Source organism: Homo sapiens, chromosome 3 (genome assembly GCF_000001405.40).
Source record: "Homo sapiens chromosome 3, GRCh38.p14 Primary Assembly".
NCBI classification, from domain to species: Eukaryota; Metazoa; Chordata; class Mammalia; order Primates; family Hominidae; genus Homo; species Homo sapiens.
In genome coordinates, this window is record NC_000003.12 from 146,113,587 (window position 1) to 146,137,045 (window position 23,459).

Below are 23,459 nucleotides of genomic sequence, written 5' to 3' on the forward strand. Positions count from 1 at the left end.
AGATTTCATGGACATTTATCACTTCCCTAATCAATACTCTTGTGATTTCCTATGCCTGTCTTTACTTTAATCTCTTAATCCCGTCATCTTCGTAAGCTGAGGATGTGCGTAGCCTTAGGACCCTGTGATGATTGCATTAACTGTGCAAATCGTTAGTAAATCATGTGTGTTTAAACAATATGAAATCTGGGCACCTTGAAAAAAGAACAGGATAACAGCGATGTTCAGGGAACAAGGGAGGTAACCATCAGGTCTGACTGCCTGAGAGCCGGGCGGAACAGAGCCATATTTCTCTTCTTACAAAAGCGAATAGGAGAAATATCGCTGAATTCTTTTTCTCAGTAAGGAACAGCCCTGAGAAAGAAAATGCTTTCCTAGGGGTAGGTCTCTAAAATGGCCGCTCTAGGAATGTCTGTCTTACACGGTTGCAGATAAGGGATGAAATAGCCCCAGTCTCTGGTAGCACTCCCAGGCCTATTAGGACGAGGAAATTCCTGCCTAGTAAATTTTAGTCAGACCAGTTGTCTGCTCTCAAACCCTGTCTCCTGATAAGACGTTATCAATGACAATGCATACCCGAAATTTCATTAGCAATTTTAATTTCGCCCCGGTCCTGTGATCTCGCTTTGCCCCCATTTGCCTTGTGATATTTTATTGCCTCTGTGTGCCTCTGTGACCCACACCCTATTCATACACTGCCTCCCCTTTGAAAATCACTAATAAAAACTTGCTGGTTTTCAAGGCAATGTAGTGCCCTGAAAACCAAGTACGTCTCAGGTATTTCTTATAGCAGCGTGAAAATGGACTAATACAGCAAAAGAAACCCAAATTATCCTCGAAGAGATGACCTGTAGATAAGCAAAAGTATCCAGCCAACAGTCCCAGCTAACAACCAGACATACTCTCAGTGGAGCAGCCAGATTACTGCAGCCACAAAAGTGACCCCAGGAAAAATCAGTAGAAGAACACAGATGAATCCAACCAAACTGCATAATCATAAGCATTGATCCAACAAGCATTCCTAATAAGCCTCCCACACACTAATTTCCACCTAAGATTCTACTTTCTGGAGAACCCAATCTGCAAAATTTGGTACGAAGAGTGGGGAAAAGGAAAGTAGAGGTAGCTACTGGAGAACGTGCTCCACCAAATTAAGGGAATAAACTAAGAAAGAGGAAGACATGAAAAACAGGGCACAGAAGAATCCACACAGGGTAGAGTCACAGAGGATTCCCATATGATGGTGAAGGGAAGTCCCTGCAGGCCTAGAGACGCATCAATCCCAACTGCGGAACAGCACAGGCTCTGAGAGGGATGTCTTCATTAAAATCGACAAACTATCAATGTATTGACTACACTGAGAAGAATTCCAGGATTCTGTAGAAAACTTGGGGGGGATGAATTAATAAAATGAATATAGAAAACAAAACAAAACAAAAAAACTTGCTGGTTTTGCGGCTTGGGGGGCAGCACGGAACCTGCCAACATGTGATGTCTCCCCCGGACACCCAGCTTTAAAATTTCTCTCTTTTGTACTCTTTCCCTTTATTTCTCAGACCGGCCAACACTTAGGGAAATAGGAAAGAACCTACGTTGAAATATTGGGGGTGGTTCCCCCGATACACAGGTCATAAAAATATTCTCACAGAAATTGAGTCGATCTACATGTGAAGAAAATAAAATTTTCCACATATAACTGTGGTAAGTATGCCTGGGTCCTGAAAAAACCATAAGATTCTACCTGATGTGGTCATACTGAGTCCCCTGCCAGACATGTCAGTGTTCTATCTCAATAGATGATTGAGATTTTCTAAGTGTTTTTCCTTTTTGTCCTTCTGTGTTCCCTACTTCTGTGACAACATCAACCACATAGTCACCTAGGTTGAAAATCTTTCATTCACCCTTCACTCCTCTCTTTCCATGGCCTATCTCATGGAATCTTTTCCTTAATCCTATTGATTCCATCTACTTAATTTATTTTGCATTCAAATCCTCTCCACTCCCACTAGAAGGCACAAGGCTAGATTAATTTTAAAACCCTAGAGACCTCTACATTACCCATCTCTTCCTCACTCATAAATAAGACTGTCTGACAAACTATTTTAAAAATGATTCTGTGCCAGTTCCCAGACTGTATCAATGGTTCTCAACTATGGCCTAAAGCGGGAGTCAGTAAATATTTACTCTCTGGCCTTTTACAGAAAATATTTTAGGTCCTGATGACCATATTGTCTGTCACAGTGACTGAACTCTGTCACTGTGTTGCAAAAGCCACCACAGACAATATGTAAACAAATGAGCACAGCTGCATTTCAATAAAACTTTTTACAAAAACAGGCAGTGGTACAAGCCACAGAATCCATCATCTTGAGTCTCAACAAGAAGCAAAAGCTCCCATATAGCCAAAAAAGAAAGCAACAGAAGTGTTCCCTAACCTTGTCATTTAGCCCCAATCCTTTATCATTATTGGCATAAACTTCAGCAAAAATTATAATCATCCAAACTATTAGCAGCACAGAAGTAGCTTCACACCTGATAATTCTTTCATCATATCTTCACCTGAAGCATATGTCTATATTTCCAGAGATAATTAACATCACAAACCAATACTATGGATCCACTCCTAACCACCCACCCTCAAAACACACAGACACAGACACACAGACACAGACACACAGACACACACACGCACACACACAGTTAAAAACACCCACGTACCCAGTTGACTTTGCACAACAGATTATGATAAAATCACAATAAAATGATTAAAATTATTTTATAAATTTTGGAGGGAGGGAAAGGGAGTTAGTTGGCATAAAACAAATACAATTTTAACAGATAAATATTGAACCATCCTGGCATTCCTGGGATAAATCCCACTTGATCATGGGGGATATTTTTGTTGTGCTGTTGGAAAGAAAATAAGTATATCAATGGGATACCTATACTTCCATGTTTACTGCAACACTACTTATAATAGTAAATATATGGAACAAATCTAAGTATGTATCAACAGATGAATGGATAAAGGAAATACGGAGTACACACATAATGGAATATTATTCACCCATAAAAAAGAAGGAAATCCTGTTATTTGCAACAATAAAATGGTTACAACTGGAGGTTACTAGGTTAATGATATAAGCCATGCACAAAAAGACAGTATCAGATGGTCTCACTCATATATGGATATCTTCAGTTTTCCTTTTGTTCTGAGAATAACCTAAAACCTTGCCAAATATCTAAATTTTTTTATCTAAATTAAATATAATAAATCTTACCCTACAGATTATAAAGAGCCAGTTTCTAATTTTAAACGTTCATCCAAAAGTAAGTTTAGAATACATATTCCATGGAAGGAATGCGACAAAATTGTTTCTAAATTAATTCAGGCTTTTTAGCATGTCTAAATGGAATACGGGATAATTATGGGGTATTGGAAACATTCTAAAATTGCATAATGGGGATGACTGCACGACTCTGTAAATTTAATTAAATTCATTGAATTTTACACTTACAAATGTTTATGGCATGTTATATAAATTATGCCCTAACAAAGCTGTGTTTCTTAAAAGGCTCATCTAAACCACTAAGTATATACATCTGTGTATATTTTCATATGATAGTGACCTATGCTTCCATAAAACAGTTGAGTTGTCCTTAAAAATACCACATAAAAAATAAGAATGTTTTGCTTTATTAAAATGAACATATCCTGAATTCTGGACCTTTACCAGAGCTAACCTTAATTAAGAGTTTAGGAATTGTGTTACAGAATGGGCATCATATTTCAAACCATTTACAAACAGTTTAATTCATTCTCCCAGGCCCTAGATTACAATTTTCAACTAGATTCATTACTCTGTATAAACTTTTTAAAAAGGGTGTTGTTTTTAAAAAATAAGAAGGGTAAAAAAAATTTCTTATGTGGCTTCAATTGCTCATCCCTCTTTAACCTCCTGGTTACTTTCTCATGACCCCTAGGTTTTTTCCACAGGATAGTCATGGTAGGTAATGATGCAGAAAATGTTAATGACTCTTCTTAGACAACAACTTGGCTGAGTGGGCACCCATGTTTTCAGTTAGCTGGCTGTTCTCACAGGAGATGTCAGAAATTTTATCTGTTTGTTTCCATTATATATCCCAAACACTAACAGTGCCTGGAAGACACTGTGTCTTCCATTAAAATTTTATTATCTTTTCTGTCAAGCTGGGTCCTAAAGTATCATCTAAATCAACAAACTCAACCTCAAGCAGGCTTTAGGTATATCACAGTGTCCTTCTTCTCATGAGAAAAAAATAGGTCCCTCACTATACCAGTTGTCCACAAGGACAAATATTAGATAGGGGGCCGGAGGTGGGGGATGGTGATGCGAGAGTGATGGTAGAGAAAAGTTCTTCCTAAAACCCAAAAGGAAGCTTGAGGATGTAAAATCATTTCTGACTCACATGTAGTAACTCTTACAAGGAGAATCTGCCTCAGAGCCAAAGTGAAAATGTACATGTGGCAAGTTTAAGCTGACTAATATGGTTGTTTGAAATCCATGGTAATTTTAAACCAAAACATACCCAGTATTTATTCTACAGAGCTATTTTAATGAACTTGGTATTCTTTTTCTAAGTGTAAAAAAAATAACAAATGCTGTAGAAAAATTCCCAGTACACTATGGCTAACACTTGCCTTACCATACTTCATCTTGCAAAATAGGTAACCACAAGCAGAACTTAATATTTTGTGTAAAATATAACAGGAAAATTTTACAGATGCAAGTGTTATGTATCTTTTGAAAATTTTTAAGTGTGTACGGCACTGGGACTTCATTATATTAACATCTATTTTCATTTCATAATTTATAACTTTCTTATTTATACTAATGCATAAAAATATTACTCTTATTTTCATCTGCAAATAATTTGTGTCTTTATATTTTCAAATTGAGAAAAAATATGTAAAAAGACCTTCCTAAGTTAGAGGGGAAAATTCATGGGGACTTAAAATGAGCAATCAATAACAAAAACAAATAAGACACAGAAAATAAAATAAAGGAAGTAGTAACTAATAACTCATGACAATTTGATGTTATTATAAAATTATAAGAAGATGGCAAAAAAGAGTGGATATTTTAATTAGGAGAGTGAAATATTACACAAAATACATTTACATTAAAAAGGTTCTTCTTTCTTAGTAACACAGGCTTTCTAATGTCTCACTTGTATTTATAACTTTGCGTGGTCTTTTTTCTTCTGTTTAACCAGAATCCATTAAGTTACCCGTCTCAATAGTAAAGCTCACTATGATCTTTATTCTTAACTCAAGACTAAAGTATGAATTTCACAAAAACGTTAGCTCTTGCCATGTTGTCTCATTAGTGTTTATGGTAATTCATCATCTTTAATTACATCATCTCAGACCATAGTTGATATAATTTGAATCTACGTCCCCACCCACATCTCATGTTGAAACGTAACCCTCAGTGCTGGAGGTGGGGTTGGGTGGGAGGTGATTGGATCATGAGGGCAGTTTCTAATGGTTTAGCACCATCACCCTAGTGATGTTCTCATTATAGAGTTCTCATGAGATCTGATTGTTTAAAAGCATGTAGCACATCCCCTCACTTCCTCCTGCTCCAATCATGTGAGACCTTCATTCCTCCTTTGCCTTCTGCCATGATCCTAAGTTTCCTGAGGCCTCTCCAGAAGCCAAGCAGCTGGCCAGCATCATGTTTCCTGTACAGCCTGTGAAATTGTGAGCCAACTAAATCTCTTTTCTTTATAAATTATGCAGTCTCAGGAATTTGTAGCAGCACAAGAACTGATTAATACAATAGTTTTATAACTAGTAATATCTACTTTTGCCTCTTTTTTTTTATTATACTTTAAGTTTTAGGGTACATGTGCACAACGTGCAGGTTAGTTACATATGTATACATGTGCCATGTTGGTGTGCTGCACCCAGTAACTTGTCATTTAACATTAGGTATATCTCCTAATGCTATCCCTCCCCCATTCCCCCACTCCACAACAGGCCCCCGTGTGTGATGTTCCCCTTCCTGTGTCCATGTGATCTCATTGTTCAATTCCCACCTATGAGTGAGAATATGCGGTGTTTGGTTTTTTGTCCTTGCGATAGTTTGCTGAGAATGATGGTTTCCAGCTTCATCCATGTCCCTACAAAGGACATGAACTCATCATTTTTTATGGCTGCATAGTATTCCATGGTGTGTATGTGCCACATTTTCTTAATCCAGTCTATCATTGTTGGACATCTGGGTTGGTTCCAAGTCTTTGCTATCGTGAATAGTGCCGCGATAAACATACCTGTGCATGTGTCTTTATAGCAGCATGATTTATAATCCTTTGGGTATATACCCAGTAATGGGATGGCTGGGTCAAATGGTATTTCTAGTTCTAGATCCCTGAGGAATCACCACACTGACTTCCACAATGGTTGAACTAGTTTACAGTCCCACCAACAGTGTAAAAGTGTTCCTATTTCTCCACATCCTCTCCAGCACCTGTTGTTTCCTGATTTTTTAATGATCGCCATTCTAACTCGTGTGAGATGGTATCTCATTGTGGTTTTGATTTGCATTTCTCTGATGGCCAGTGATGATGAGCATTTTTTCATGTGTATTTTGGCTGCATAAATGTCTTCTTTTGAGAAGTGTCTGTTCACATCCTTCACACACTTTTTGATGGCCCTATTTGTTTTTTTCTTGTAAATTTGTTTGAGTTCATTGTAGATTCTGGATATTAGCCCTTTGTCAGATGAGTAGATTGCAAAAATTTTCTCCCTTTCTGTATGGTGCTGGGAAAACTGGCTAGCCATATGTAGAAAGCTGAAACTTGATCCCTTCCTTACACCTTACACAAAAATTAATTCAAGATGGATTAAAGACTTAAATGTTAGACCTGAAACCATAAAAGCCCTAGAAGAAAACCTAGGCAATACCATTCAGGACATAGGCATGGGCAAGGACTTCATGTCTAAAACACCAAAAGTAATGGCAACAAAAGCCAAAATTGACAAATGGGATCTAATTAAGCTAAAGAGCTTCTGCACAGCAAAAGAAACTACCATCAGAGCGAACGGGCAACCTACAGAATAGTAATATCTACTTTTTAAAACAATAATTCCTTGTCAATAATTTTTTTTTGAAATGGAGTCTTGCTCTGTTGCCAGGATGGAGTAGAGTGGCGCAATCTCGGCTCACTGCAACCTTGCTCCTGGGTTCAAGCAATTCTCTGCCTCAGCCTCCCAAGTAGCTGTGATTACAGGCACCTGCCACCACGCCCGGCTAATTTTTTGTATTTTTAGTAGAGACAGGGTTTCACCATCTTGGCCAGGCTGGTCTTGAACTCCTGACCTTGTGATCCAGCTGCCTAGGCCTCCCAAAGTGCTAGGATTACAGGCGTGAGCCACCGTGCCCAACCATATTTTAATACATCATCTACAAATATAAATCTCAGCTCTTTAAAAAGTAATTGAATATAGATTTTAAAATCCACAGGGTGTTTCTCCTACCATTCAGTAAACATGACAACCAGATCATCTTGATCAGCATAGTGTTCCATGACTTCTTTCATTAATCTCACTTTCTGGCCCCCTCCAATACTATTAATTCCATCACCACCTCTCCATTCTTCTCCTTGACCAAGGACCTATAAACAAAATCAACATTTCATTCCTGAGCAAAACTCAAATTATGAAAGTACTATGAAAAACTTAAAGACATCATCAACTTGAACAGTACTGTACCGTAACCACTCTTCTAATGTTTCATGGAATCATGATTCTAGAAAAAAAAATCTAGATGCCTAAATCAGATCATAATTCTTCAATGTTATCCATCCCCAAAATGCCCTTCTCAATTTTTACCATCTCAAAAGTTGTGAGTCTAATCCAAGGAAGTAGACCCAGAAAGTATTTCTCACATTACATCATTTTATTCCTATTTGTTTAGACCATAAAGAAGAAAAATGAATAAATTTCCCATATCACTTTTTTTTCAATCTGGCAGGAAATCTTTATGATCAACATTGAAGCTCAGTGACTCCTTGATGAGGGGCCTTTAAGCAATTTTCCTACTGAACCAAAATGGGTTTTTCAGGGAATTGCAGAGGGCATCAAGAAAAAAATCACCTTCTTTACCTTATACATCTTAAACTTATGTAATTGTCTAAAGCTTAATAAGGATTTTTCAATGCAAGATATTGCCTAAGTATGATTAATTTAAATTTGATTTTAATTACCCTGTACCCTTTCTCTTCACTATTTGCTTGAGCCTCAGCAGCTGCTCCCTGAATTGGAAATGCATGATGACACACTGACTCTAAGGGAACAGAAAGTGCAATACACGTCCCTTCCCCCACACAACACACACCTTTTCTCTTCATTTCATCAAAACAAAGTCTGAAGTTGCCATTATAATGATCTACTAAGAGATCTGGGAAATTAATGGAGAATGAAATTAAAAATAAACACACAAGAAAAGGATAAAATAAAATTTAATAATAAATACCACTAGTTCTAACTTTACTTAATACTGAGCCGGAGATAAATCTTGCTGGCAAAGCCTGTGGGGCTCCCAGCCTCAAATGTCCTGTTATAACTTATCACTTCCTATGTGGCAGGTTGAGGGAAAAACACAACCCAAGAAAACTCAAGCTGTTTTGGATCTGGATTCAAACTAGGCTAATCTAGAAGCATTAATAGTACTTGCTCTAAAAATTGGCCTCCTCTGGCCCTGAGATTTGTTCCACAACCCATCTGGAATCCCTAATCCTAATGCAACATTGGACCCAACGACATCTGAGAGTCTACTCTGTGCAATACACCATGTTAAGCACCACCCTCTATGTTCTTTCCACTACACTAGTGGTTGTCAAATTTCAGTGTGCATCTGAATCTCATGGAAGCCTTGTTCAAACACAGACTTCAGGGTATCACTCCCAGGATTTGTAATTCAGTCGGTCTGAGGGGGAGCCTGATTATTTTTTCTTTCTTATCAGTAGCCAGGCAATGCAGATGTTGGTGGTCTGGGGTCCACACTTTGGGAACCACTGCATTACATGAGGAGAGAGCAAAAGGATCATAAACTCCAGTAAGTTAAGTGGGGATGGGGTCCAAGATCTGATATTATACTTTATATAGTTATTTGCCTTGGGACAAGTTTTCCTCATCCAGAAATAAAGTAGTATCTACCTTACATGGTTCATATAGTGACTTAACAGCATATCATATATAAAGTTCCTTACAAGGTGCCTTGCACATAAGAAACATTCTACTCTCTCTCCATTCTGAACCCTAACGATTCCCCAACTAGATTTCAGCATTATTTTATCCTAATTTTATTTCCACAGTGTCTCCTATCAGTGCATACTGCTACATTTTCCATCTATCATAGTAACATATTTCTAACATGTTTTTCATTTATCCTATATTAAACATCTAGTTGTTACCACTACATCTCTTTTTCAGCAAAGTTTAGCTGTTTATTAGCTGTTCTATATTAACACTTAGCTGTTCTATATTTACATCTATACTTAGTATTCCAGTGGTTATTTAATAAAAACTACCTTTTTAATATACTACATACTCAAATGGATCAGTTTTTCTCCAAAAAGTAATCTTTCTTCTTTTTTAAAAAAAAAGTTTTTTGCTTTTTGTGTTCCTACCTAGGTATCTCCTTGTTCTCCTCTTATTTGTAGAAAAGACTTGGCTGACAGATCCTTCTTTCTATTAAAAAAAACAAGTAAGTAAATAAAATGGCAGGCCTCTCATAGCTGAGTTTAATAGTTCTATCAATTTCCCCAAGTTTCCTCTGATCACTTGTCAATGAGATGTTCACCTGGAGATAAGTTTTCTAAAATGCTTTGGTTAAAAATACATTAACAATCCTCCCAAATACCTCTAAATGAAAACAAACAAACAAACAAAAAAAGCAAAAACAAAAGCAATTCTCAATAATAGACAGAAAAGGCACCCTCTTCACATTTGTTTCTAATTCCCTGCAAACAAAGAATCATCCTACGATAGCAAAACCCATTACAGAAAAAATTATGCAGTCAGTGAAAAAAATCCCTGCCAAATCTTATTTACATTGTATTTGTACATGACCTGCCAGAAAGAAATTATATATATATATGCAAATACATATTAACTTTTTTTTGCTGTTTTATAGAGTATATTTATACAAAGCATTGGCAAAAATTCAGAAATTATTGTTTGAGTGGCACAGCATTATTTTATCTTAATTATTACAGGTGCATAATAGTTGCATATTTATGGGGTACATGTGATATTTTGATACAGGCATATAATGTGTAATGATCAAATCAGAATACTTTGGCTATCCCCTCACCTCAAGCATTTACCACCATTTCTTTGTGTTAGGAAATATTAATAAAGCCAAAAACTACATGAACTAACAGTAATTATGTAACCAAATGCTATCTTCCTTGTGAGGATTACAGATTGTACTGCTGTTATGAAAAACATACTTTAGGCACACATTATAGGATCTTCATAGGTTAAAGGATATACCATACCTTCACAGTATAATTGAAATATTTGGCTGACTGCATAAATCGATGGAATCCATCACTTTCTTTTGTTGCTACAGTTATGACTAATAATTTATCTGCAAAGACAAAAGGAAACAAAAGAAGGTTTACCAAGATATCAAATGCTCACATTTTACAACTCACTACAGTAATTGAGACCTCACTAAACCCGTGGGAATATTCTGGTTTACTTATCTACACAAGACTAAACAAAGAGCTGTCGAAAAAATAGATGACTCAAATTGGTTGTATTACTGCCAAATGATGAACCTTCAAATGACAATTATTTCAACGCAAAAAAGTATATTGATGATTAAGAAAAATCATGCCATCAATAAAGTATTTCAATATTGAGAAAAACTTCCATAAAATGAACTTTATAATCCATGATTAAGATTCTCTGACATTATCTAATCAACAAACTTCAACATCATCGATAAATCATTCCTGATTTATGACATCACCAGTGAGGAGATCAGCAAATTACATTCATCAAAATAATGACATACACAAAAAAAACAGATACAATCATTAAATCTGATTCTAATTTTCTAAAATAAATTGTGACAACTGGGAGCAAATATTTAAAACAAAATCTTAATTTTTTTCTCCTATCCGGGATTGCTTTTTCATGAAAATTCTTACAAGCGACAACATTATTTATTGTGTTTTGGTTTCTCTTTAAAGAATAAATGGAATCAAAATAACCACTGCCCTAGTAAATATACAACTATTAGCTACCATTTTATAATGAAATATTACTTTCAATCCAACATAACACTTCTTTTTAGTAAAATTAGATAGATTTAAGGAATTGTCTCAAAACACCTACATAAGCTACTACAGATAATGATTATTTTTAATAGGAAAAGGCATGTTGGAAAAATGCACAAAAGAAACAAGTGCATCAACAAATGCCAAAAGGGCTGGAACATTTTTTTTTAACTGAAGATTTAGAAGGACCTACACACTAAGAAAGCAAAACTAACATCTTTTCAATATTCTCTGAGTAACATCATTTGTTTCTCACTTGCCCTCTATTTATAAGAAAAGAATTCAGGTTTTGAGTATCCCCTAAGCAACAATCACCAAACATGGCAATAATGCATTATAGGAATCAGTTAAAAATTATAGCAGATGAACCAATGTATCTATCTGTCAAATTTTGAAAGTAACTACAATAAAATATAAGTAAGTACAATATACAAAGAAATACTAAATTCAAACATTCAATAGTCAACCAAAAAAAATAATTTCCATGAAGATAAACATCAACATTCTTAGATTTTTTTCTAAGAAAAAGGTATTTCTTGGCCAGGCACGGTAGGTCATGCCTGTAATCTCAGCACTTTGGGAGGCCGAGGTGAGCATATCACTTGAGAGCAGCAGTTTGAGACCAGCCTGGTCAACATGGTGAAACCTCATCTCTACTGAAAATACAAAAATTAGTCGGGTATGGTGGCACACACTTGTAATCCCAGCTACTTAAGAGGCTGAGATAGGAGAATCGCTTGAACTCGGGGGGCGGAGATGGTAGTGAGCCAAGATCACACGGCTGCACTCCAGCCTAGGTGATGAGGCCCTAGTAAATGTATTTTAAGAATACTTTTTAAAATTAACTATTTAAAAAAGTTTTCATTTATAAAGTTTCAAACAGAGCTTAACTGATTATGAAAATTTAACATTATTCAGAGTAAATTTCAAAATAGGGAATACCACATTTTATTTTATAAGAACAAAGAGCTTTTTAAAGTCTATCTGTAATAAAATTACTCTATTTAAAGTTACATTTCTTAAATTTGTCTATATAAATCATAAGAATTAACTACAAGTTTCAGTTTTTACTGGATGGATTTTCACACTTACAATTCCAGTATAAAGTTAACAGCAAGGATTTCATCATCCTTAATAGGAAAAGTAAAGTTGGCCAGACCCTTGAGTAGACAAAAATGTTACCAAATCCAATGACTCAGAAGGCAAAGCTTAATCATGTGTAGTCTGACCATGTCCAGCAATCCTATGCCAAATAAGAACTCCTACTGTTTCAGTACTATTGCTCTTTATAAATAACCTCAACCAAATCACAAATACATAATTTTGTTAAAGAAAGGTCTGGTTAGTAATATTACACATGAACAGCTGTTTCCTCTAAGTTGCTATTCAGTATCATGACTATGATAAGAAAAAAATCTTAGTTGGAGAAAAAAAATAGTGTTGACATGTATCACCCACATGCTTTTTTTTAACCAATTCAAGAATTCAACCATCTCACCATTTATGAAGTATTACTGTTAGAAAACGTAACCTAAACTGGATACGTACTTTTCAGATTTCACTACCATTTATGCTACAAATTTACCAGAAATAAAGAGACAAAGATATGGTGACAGGAAAGAGATGTCAGCAATAAAATTCAGAACATGAGAAATTCTATAGGACAAATGATTTATGTAATCGATGGCAAAAGACAGAAAAGGGAAGGGAAATATATAGAATATTAACATAAGAGACATTTCAAACAAATGTTAGTCACGGACCTGAGTTGGGACCTGATTTGTAAAAGCTATAAAAAAGCATTTGTGAGAAAATTAGAGAAATTTGAACACTAATTAGGTATTTGGTGATGTTGAGAAATTAGTTAATTTTTTAGCATGCTAATTTCATTTACTTTTTTTTAAAAAAGAGTCCTTATAATTTAGAGACACATACTGAAGTAATACCCTATCAAATGATATCATGCCTGCAATCTGTTTTAAAGTTAATTGGGGTAGATAGATTAAAACAAGACTGGCCATATGTGATAAATACTGAAACTGCATTTTTTGTTATGTTTAAAAATCCCTATAATTACTATTTTTCCATCTATTCATTCACTTATTCAGTCAACACATATTTTCCAAGTCCCTCGTTCAGTTACTCATTGTTGCATACAAACACAAAATTCAGTGTTAAAAAACATAAAACTTTATTTTCGTATGGTTCAGCAATATGAGCTCAGCTGAATAGTTCTTTTTATTATTTATTTAAATTTCATTTTAGATTCAGAGGATACAGGAGCGTGTTTGTTACATAGGTATATTGCATATTGGTGGGGATTTGGCTTCTAGTATATCCATTACCCACATAGTGAACACTGTACCCAACAGGTAACTTTTCAACCCTTTTCAACCCTCTCCCAACCTCCTGCTTTTTGGAGTCCCCAGTGTCTATTTTTTCCATCTTTATGTCCATGTGTACCCATTGTTTAGCTCCCACTTATAAGCGAGAACACGTGGCATTCGGTTTTCCAAGTTAGCTCACATAGGATAATGGCCTCCAGCTCCATTCATCCTGCTGCAAAGGACAGGATTTCATTTTTTTTTAATAGCTGTGTCATATCCCATCGTATATATATATATCACATTTTCTTTATCCAGTCAACCACTGATGGACTTTTAGGTTGGTTCCATGACTTTGTTGTTGTGAATAGTGCTGCAATAAACTTATGAGTATAGGCGTCTTTTTTATGTAATGACTTCTTTCCCTTTGAGTAGATACCCAGTACTGCGATGGCTGAAGAGATACTTCTCAAACGAAGAAATACGAGTGGCCAAGAAATATATGAACAAATCCTCAACATCACTAATCATCAGAGAAGTGAAAATCAAAGCCACAATGAGATACCATTTCACACCAGTCAGAATGGCTATTGTTAACAGGTCAAAAAACAACAGATGTTGGCATGGATGCAAAGAAAAGGGAACACTTACACATTGCTTGTGGGAATGTAAATTAGTTCAACCTCCATGGAAAATAGTATGGAAAGTTATCAAATAACTAAAAATATAGAATTCCTATAAAGACAGAGTACAACTTTATGTAAAATCTCTAAACTTCCAATCAAAAGAAAGATAGAAAATTATGCAATGTAAATCTTTTAGCAGACTGACACATCTAAGGATAAGGAAAGATAAAATGTACAGAGTTCTTTAACCAAACAGTATTATAATTTAAATAACTATAATTAATACCTTTTCCAATCCACCCTCCACAAGCCAAATGAATGATACAGTGAGATGACTAAGGAATGGTGCTTCAATAACAGGCACCTGCCAACCACTAATACCACCAATCTATAACAGCAAAAGCTATCTCATTTTCTTCGTTTCAGCAAGATACCTGGCACCATGAGGTTAAAAAAACAAGCAAATGGAAGCTCATCAGTAGCCAAATGTAACCTCTATTGCCACCTTTGGACTCTATTAGATAACAGATCAATACAGTTTCCATGAATAAGAAACAGGTGATGCATCTATACAGTGTGGTAGATTTGAACAACAACTTACCAAATGAAAATCAGTGGCAGACTATGTAATCATCTTTACATAATCCTCCAAAATGCCTATCACTACAGTAAGATTTAATAAATATTTGTTAAATGGCTGTATATTTTGCTCTGTCTGAAAATTCAGATGAATTTCATAATTTCCCCAAAAATCAAGAAGTCAATTTGTTTAGAAAGGCCAAAACATGCTATGTCCTCAAAGCTCTAGAAGAAAAAAAAAATGCATTGTTGGAGTCATTTTTTTCTCCAAATAGCTGTTGATATCTGAACACAATTTACCAATATTCAGTGGTGACACAATTTTTCTATTCAAAAACAAACCATGGTTTTAAAACAGAAAGTGTTTTTGCTAATATATCCTGTCACCAAATGCTAAAGCAGCTTCTGAAGTCCATCTGAAATCCTTTTTTTTTTTTTTTTTTTTTTTTTTTTTGAGACGGAGTCTCAGTGGCACTGAAATCAATTTTCTTAATGAGGGCATCACAGTTAAATAACAGCACTAGCCCAGCTGCCTTTTATCCATATCTTCTCAAGTAACTTTAAACACAGTTCTTAATTTTAAACTGGCAACAATAAAAAAAAATTATTGTGCCACAGAAGTAACTGTGAGTACACTGTTCTCATTCTACAACTAACTGATTTTATGACCAGACATGTCTTTTATCTGTAAAGATTACTGTTTCTCAACTTTCTACTAAAGAAAAATGTTTTCGTAGTAAAAGCATAATAGAGATGTTGAGAAACTTCTTCTGCAAAAGGTCAAATAGTAAATATTTCAGGCCTTATGGGCCACATACACTGTCTAATACAATTTGATTTTTTCCTTATTTTTTTACAACCTTTTAAAAATGTAAAAAACATTTGTAGTTGTCTGGCTGGCTGTGCAAAAACAGCCAAGGGCCAGAATTGGCCTAAGGGTCATAAGTTTGCTACTTATCCATATAGTTGGCCATATGGATCTGAAGGCAAAGTAAAGCTTAAATCCCAGCTCTATTATTTCTTCTTGGTTTTGACTTGGTCAGTTACTTAAACTCTGCGTCTCAACTGTAATATGTCTGTAATAGCATCTACCTGACAGTATTTCCATGAGAGTAAAATGAGTTAGTATATATAAAGCAGTCGACACAAACTCCTACATATGTGTTAGGCAGCATCTCACACATATATTCAAAGGATGCATGTGCAAGATAGACTGTAGGTGATGTGCAAAACTCAGCGAGTTATAACTCCCATCCCTTTCTCTACCAGAGATGCTATCCAGATTGTTTTTAAAAATTATGGAAAAATAGTCGTGAAGCTGTTTATTCAAACAGTTTAGCAAGTAACTCTAGATACGCCTTCTCAAATCTTTACATTCCTCTCCATCTCCCAGCAAGCTATAATAACTCTAACTCAAGTTATAATCAGCACTAGCTCAGGTTTCTGCAATCGTCTCTTAGGCCAACTTTGTACACTCTAAACCTCTGTTTACAAAGCAGCTAGAGTGATCATTTCAAAACAGTTAGATATCTGACCATGTCACTTCATTGGTAAATACCCTCTTAGGATAGTAGAGAAACTCCATTACCACAATGTGGTCCTAGGTTACTTCTCTCCTCTCCAATCTCATCCACTTTCTCTCTCCACTTTGTTCTCTCTTCTCCAACCACATTGGCCTGTATTTTTATTTTCTAATAATGCCTGCACCCTCCCATTCAAAGAGAAGAGCCTTTTCAAGACCATTATCTAATATTCCTCCCTGACATCTTGATGTGGCCACTGCCTAGGTAAACCTGAGATTCTTACACATATGCTATTTCCTTAGAGAGACCCTCTCTGACCTACTAGAGTAGGCCAGTACCCATGTTTTCACTGCACTTTCTACCTTTCTTTCAGGGCACTCACCACAAATTGTAATTACATATTAATTTGCATAATCTCAAATTATGAATAATCTCAAATTATGTGAGATTAAAGTCTCTCTCTCCAATGAGACTGTAAGTTACAGAAAGGCAGAGAACATTCTTTTGCTCACAATTAGACCTCCAGAGCTTATCACAATATTAAGCACACAGTAGGTTCTTAAAAAACATTTCAGAATGAGTGGACTCAGGGGCAAGTAATATCATATGTCTTGCATGTAGGTGTGAATGAAATAATTTAACAAAATCCCTATGTAGTTAGCATAATCATCTCAAATTCACAGGTGGTTAAACTCCAGTAAAGTAATCGACTTAGCCAAAGTCACCTAACAAATTACTAGTAGGGCCAGAAGTAGAACTTCAGAGTTATTCCTCAATGTCATGTGGCCTCCCCTGGTGACAACAGGTTAAGGGCTGAAGCAATCATTGAGTTTTATTATGTTCAGAAAAGAGATAGCAACTTAAGACTTCTATCCTTAGAAAGATCTGCTTGTAAGGTTGGTCCTTGGCAGGCATCTGAAAAGTTGGATTCCATATGGTTTCCAGATGGTCTTCCAATGGGAAGGGTTCCCATCATTCCTAGATAAGATGGCTCACTGTGGCTAAATTATACAAACAATGCGGTTTATGCTGAACACCTGCCTTCCTTCTGGGTGCTTGAAATTTTGGTACAGAGGCTGCCTATGTGACCATTCTCCAGAAAAGTTATGGGCACTGAATCTCTAATGAGCTTCCATGGTAGGTAAACATTTCACACATGTTGTCACAACCAGTTAGTTGCTTGGAGAATTAAGCAGATCTTGTGTGACTTCACTGGAAAAGAACTGTTAGAAGCTTATTCCTGGTTTCCCTGGACCTCACCCATGTGTTTTTTCTCATTGCTGATTTTGCTTTGTATCCTTTCACAATAATAAGTCATAGACATGAGTACAACCATATGCTGAATCCTGTAGGTCCTCCTGGTGAATCACTGAACCCGCAGGTGGTCTTGGGGATGTCCGACATATTATCCTAGCTACAGTCAGAAAGTCTTATCTGAAAGAGGTACTATGGGGATAGTGCATTATGCTGTGTTCTGTACTCAGAGGCGAAGCTAGAGAGATATAAAAATGACTCCAAATGGATTCCAGAAAATAAGTATTTGGTACATAAAGTAATCATACCCTGCTCTTCCACTGACTGAAAGTCATTTCCTTTAATGTGAATTATGACCTCAGGGTCAGTCTAGCAAAGCCCACTTCTTTCATGAAGGAGGAAACCATAATCTAAAGAGAAAACAAGACTTATCCAGGATCCTGCAGTTAAGTGGTAACCAATCTAAGACAACTCGGGATTCACAGTTACTAAAAAACTTGGTTTTCCTAGGTTTCATTGCACACAATTTTGTTGCTTTGTTAAGTACTGAGTCACCAAAAACTATGACGAACTGAAGGCACGAAGTCTAATTTTATTTTGTGGAATTGTTGAAGAGAATTAATTTTATTTTGCAGAACTGTTGAAAAAAATTCAAGACAAAAATTCCTCAAGAGTAATTCACGTCACAATTTCAACAAGAAAAAAAAAACCTAAAAAGGATGTGTCAAGAGACATCCAATGATTTCCTACCATTTTTGTAGAAAAAGAGGGGCAATGGTATGCTTAAAGAAAAAAGTCACTTCCAACCTCTAATGCTACATAGAGGGCATCTTCACACACACTAGCTTTCACATGGATGCCTGGGCTTCCACAGCCCACTCTGGACAATGAACAGACAAACCACAAATTAAGAGAAGTGCTGAAAAGTGGAGGGTAGTATGCAGAATGACTCACCATCCCAGTATGCCCAGGGCTGAGGAGATTCCAGAAATACAGGGCTTTCAGTTTTAAAACTGGAAAAGTCCTAGGCAAACTGGAATGAGTTGGTCACCATAGCAGTATGTGCAGTGGGATGGAGAGGGCAAGTATCGCCAGTTATTTACAGAAAGGCTGTAAGACAAATGGTCCTGGATAGGAGTCATGAAGTTAAAAATAAACTCTTCTAGAACCATAAGGTCCAATACTAACTAGATACCAAATGTAGAAGGATAGATCAAGACTTCCAGAGATAATAGATATGTGAAAGACCAAGGTGCACCGAGACCATCCCCATCCTTTATAGATACTTCAAACCAAACCATGATATATCTTTATCATTCTTTTCAAATAAAAATTTTATACATGCCAACATTAAGAACTTTTTTTTTTAGGTTTCCTGATCATCCCTTTGGATACTCATTTTTTCCAGTGATATACCCACATGTGTGCTTTGGTCTGTTAGGTAACCCAATAGTGAATGTTTGACAAATTTCAAGACAGAACTCAAAGGAATATTATGATCAAGAATTTCTAGTAGCTAGTAACTTTCAAAATGCTATGAAAGCTTCAAGACATTTTTTAAAACATACAGATTATACTGCAAAAAAAATCAAAATTTGTATATTTATGGTCAATAAAACTTGAATAAATATTAGACAAAGATTTGAATTTTAAAATAAAAGCCTGGCTGGATCCGGTAGCTCATGCCTGTAATCCCAGCACTTTGGGAGGCCAAGGTGGGCGGATCATGAGGTCAGGAGATCGAGACCATCCTGGCTATGGTGAAACCCGGTCTCTACTAAAAATACAAAAAAATTAGCCGGGTGTGGTGGCTGGCACCTGTAGTCCCAGCTACTTGGGAAGCTGAGGCAGGAGAATGGCGTGAACCCAGGAGGCGGAGCTTGCAGTGAGCGGAGATCACGCCACTGCATTCCGGCCTGGGCGACAGAGCAAGATTCCGTCTCAAAAAAATAAAAATAAAAGGCTCCATTTTCCTAGTATGAGGTGTAATTTTTAATATAAAATATTGTGGGCTACTCTATAACCATGTTATAGCAACAACTGATCAAGAAAATTATGAGAAAACCTTGAAATAAATACAGTGACATTTAAATAAATTTACATTCTCACAATCTCAAAAGTATCCATATACTTCAGAAAGTCATTAATACATACATATGAACCATATAATTTTTCCAATCTGTACAAAAAAACACTTTACTTAGAACTGCTTGCAATAACTCCCTTCAGTAAATCCCACAGGCCCTCATCACCCCTATACCTCTCTACTTCTGCGTCTCAACAATTGTCCATGACCTAAAAGGTAAGAACTCAACCTAAACATGATAAGCAGTTAAAAAAGGTGGGAGCTGCTCCTCCACATGTATGCCAATCCCTTCCCAGAAACAGAGAGATGAAATGAAAGGGCTGGATTGCAGCCAAGGACTATACACTGAGTTTCAGCAAATTCTTTCCAGAGTTCAGAAGGGAAAAGTAAAATTCAAACAGCAAAGAATGATCACACAGGGCGGGGAGGAGGTTCAATCAGAGTAAAACTTGACTTTAAAAAGTTGGGGGAAAAAAGTGTGTTATGGGCCTTACTTGAATACAAACTCAAAAATGAGCCAAAATGTGAGATGGCTGACCAAACCAAACAAACAAAAACAAAAGCTATCTTAACAAGAGAAGTGATGATTACACTGTAATCTGTATAGCCCATCTGTGGAAAATTATAAGAGCTTGGGATGCTAAATTAAGGAGAATTTTGACAAATAAGGAGTTTAACCAGTAGGTTCAGGGGTCTAGCAATCACATCATTACTGAATAGTTGAGGGATTGAGAATTTTTCTACATGAAAAAAAGAAGAAAGATTCACTATCTCCCCACCAACTCATTACATTTGAAGAGAAAACAATACTAGATTTTCTCTATATGATTTTAGTGGAAAGAACTGGCTGGGGTGGAAATAGAGAAGGGAATTAATGAGGAGTGCGGATTACATATCAATACAAAGTACAATAAACAATATCCAAAATGAAAAGATTATCTTGGAAAAGCAGTATGTTTCCTATCTTTATAAAAATTAAAACAAAGAGTATAGGACCATTTTCCAGAATTTATGACTTGGAAAACACATTTGATCCCTTCAAATGTTATAAAAATGTATATACTAGATATAATTTTAATGTCAAAGGAAAATGGATCTGCCCCTTCACAAATAGAGCGGACTTTAATCTGCTGAATTCCAAGGGTTCAAAGGTTTCAGCAACCTCCACAAATGAATGAGAAACCTTCTTTGAGTGGGATGGGGTAACCCATCTGCTAGCCAAATGCTTTATTAGAGAATATGAACTGCCTGCCAGAAATCTGATACCAAGGTTATGTAGCTTGCTGAAACACATATGATCTGTTACTGTTTATTTCATATTTTACACAGACACTAAAAATATTTTCAATGCTTATATGAAAAGGGGATCAATAGTAAAGTCAGGAACCAGGACAAACCAGCACAGGCTGAGGTAATACATTCCTGCCAATTCGCATATGAATAAGGAGAGTTGCCCTGGAGCAGAAAGCTTGAGTTAGGCTTATGCTTAGGCAAGCCATGCTCTAAGAGAAAGTTGTAAGGGTGAGGTGCCTGAATCAAGATAACATTTTATTCTTCATAACGGAAAATAAACAGCCTTTATGTACAAGTCTGCCGAAATTAAAGCAATGAAAATAAATGGATGAGTTACACAAAATTAAAAGCAGACCTGATAAAGCGTGGTGTGACTGAAACAGGAACAAAAATGGACAGAAGTCATAACTTTCATTTACCATCTTCAATTATAGTGAAATATTTGCTTACTTTACTCCACATTGCCATGAACACATAATAACATGATTTTTATAGTTGATTTTATATCTTCCATTGCATCTACCTTGCATAAAATGAATACATTTAAATTGAGGAGCAGCCCATCCTCATACTGTCTTGAAAGTTTTATAGCATCAGTTTTGGCAGCTCAGAATCCTCCCCTAACAAGTTGCTGAAGTTCTCCACATTGTTCTACGAGTTGAAGTTGCTATATAAGATATTACTAGAAAATTGAATCTGTATATTATGTATTTTCAGTACATAAAATTAAATGATGATTTGATGAAGACAACTACAAATATCATCTTCTATGGAATTACCACAAGACTCCAAAAAAGTTTATTATTCACTCTGTGTTGAAAACTGTCATAAATTCTCATCTTTATGTAAGGAGGTATCTTTTTATGGAGTATATCCCAGAAAATACAAGAAACATTCTAGCATTCACCGTGCCAAGTTGGAGATCTAAAAAATATATTTATATATGTGACTGATCTTTCCTTATTTGTAATTTAAATTTTGGACTAGGTGACGTAGAAAGTGATAATCTTTACCAGATATTTAACTGACTTCCCTTCAGAAAATATCAATAAAACTGGTTCTGATGTATGCTTTAAGAGATATTTTAATGCATGCACAAGTGGATACTTCTCATACACGTGCATACTCTCTATTCCACTCGGCATCTTTTTAAAATTTTTGTATTTCTTCGAGATATTTCCAAATAGAGTACAGACATATAATATTCTGTTGTATGAATGAACCATTATTTAACCAGCATGCTGGTAAAAATTTAAGCTGTTTCCATTGCACTGCTGTCCAAAAAAAAAAATTAAATATCAAAAAACTGCAATTGATAAAGATGGTCACAAGTAATTTCTTACATGTAAGATTGTATCTCTACAATAAATTCCAAGTAAACCTTGTGGGTTGAACATTTTCTCCCCACTTACCATTTATCTTTGAACTTTGTTTTGATTGTATGATTTTTTTTCCAGATAGAATTTTTATTTTTCTATGACTTTTTAAAATCGGCCATTAATTCTTACATCTTCTGGGTTTTGTTTCTCACACTTCAGAAATGCCTTCTACATGTTGCAATTATAAAATAATTATTCATATTTTCTTCCAGTACTTTTATAGTTTCATTTTTTACACTGATATCTTGTCATATGCATAGTGCTGAATAAATGAAATACTGAACCTGATGAGACTTTACCAATTCATATTACAGGTTGAGCATTCCTAGCCCAGAAATCCAAAATTCAAACTAAAACTTTTTGAGTGCTGAAAGACCACAAGTGTAAAATTCTACACCTGACCTAATGTGAGGAGGACAGCGAAAACTTTACTTCTTGCATAAAATTATTTAAAACATTATATAATATTGCATTATATGTAAAAGGTATATATGAAACATACACGAATTTCATGTTGAGACTTGGGTCCCATCCCCAAGATATCTCATTATGTGTATATAAATACAGTAATGTGCCACATGATGTTCCCATCAATGATGAGCCACATATACAACACTGGTCCCATAATATTACAATGGAGCTGAAAAATTCCTGTCATCTAGTGATATAGTAGCAGTCATAGCACAATGGGTTGCCTTTTTTATGTTTAGATATATTTAGATACACAAATACCATTGTGTGACAACTACCTAAATATTCGGTACAGTAACATTCCTTACAGGTTTGTAGTGTAGAAACAGTAGTGTAAACTATATTGTCTAGGTGTGGTAAGCTACACCATCTAGGTTTACATAGGTACACTCTATGATGTTTCTACAATGACGAAATTGCCTAATGACTCAATTCTCAGAAGGTATCTTTGTCGTTATGCAACAGATGATTGTATTCCAAAATCTGTAAAAACTGGAAATCTGAAACACTTCTGGTCCCAAGCATTTTGCATAAGGGATATCCAACCTGTATTCCAAACAATGAAGTTCTTTGGTTCCATTCTG

General features: G+C 35.7%; 1 protein-coding gene across 5 annotated transcripts in view, besides 1 other annotated feature; it reads right to left on the reverse strand.

Annotated features, from left to right (window-relative positions):
• The window catches only part of PLOD2 (procollagen-lysine,2-oxoglutarate 5-dioxygenase 2), a 91,745-nt gene that overhangs the window by 44,147 nt on the left and 24,139 nt on the right, over positions 1-23,459 (reverse strand). For 3 of the 5 annotated variants that reach the window (NM_000935.3, NM_182943.3, XM_047448320.1), the window contains exons 2-3: positions 10,552-10,643; positions 7,526-7,662 (exon numbers count right to left, since the gene is read on the reverse strand). In NM_000935.3, coding sequence (NP_000926.2) covers positions 7,526-7,662; positions 10,552-10,643 — 229 coding nt within the window. Of the gene's footprint in view, positions 1-7,525; positions 7,663-8,384; positions 8,448-9,678; positions 9,740-10,551; positions 10,646-23,459 lie in introns of those variants that run through there. The other 2 variants (XM_017006625.3, XM_047448319.1) reach the window with 2 other exon arrangements.
• Positions 20,684-21,456: an enhancer, noted in NCBI's record as "OCT4-NANOG hESC enhancer chr3:145852057-145852829 (GRCh37/hg19 assembly coordinates)". NCBI's record gives its function as "activates a minimal SCP1, AML or CMV promoter by ChIP-STARR-seq in primed H9 embryonic stem cells {active_cell/tissue: H9 hESC(primed)}" and the evidence as "EXISTENCE:reporter gene assay evidence [ECO:0000049][PMID:30033119]".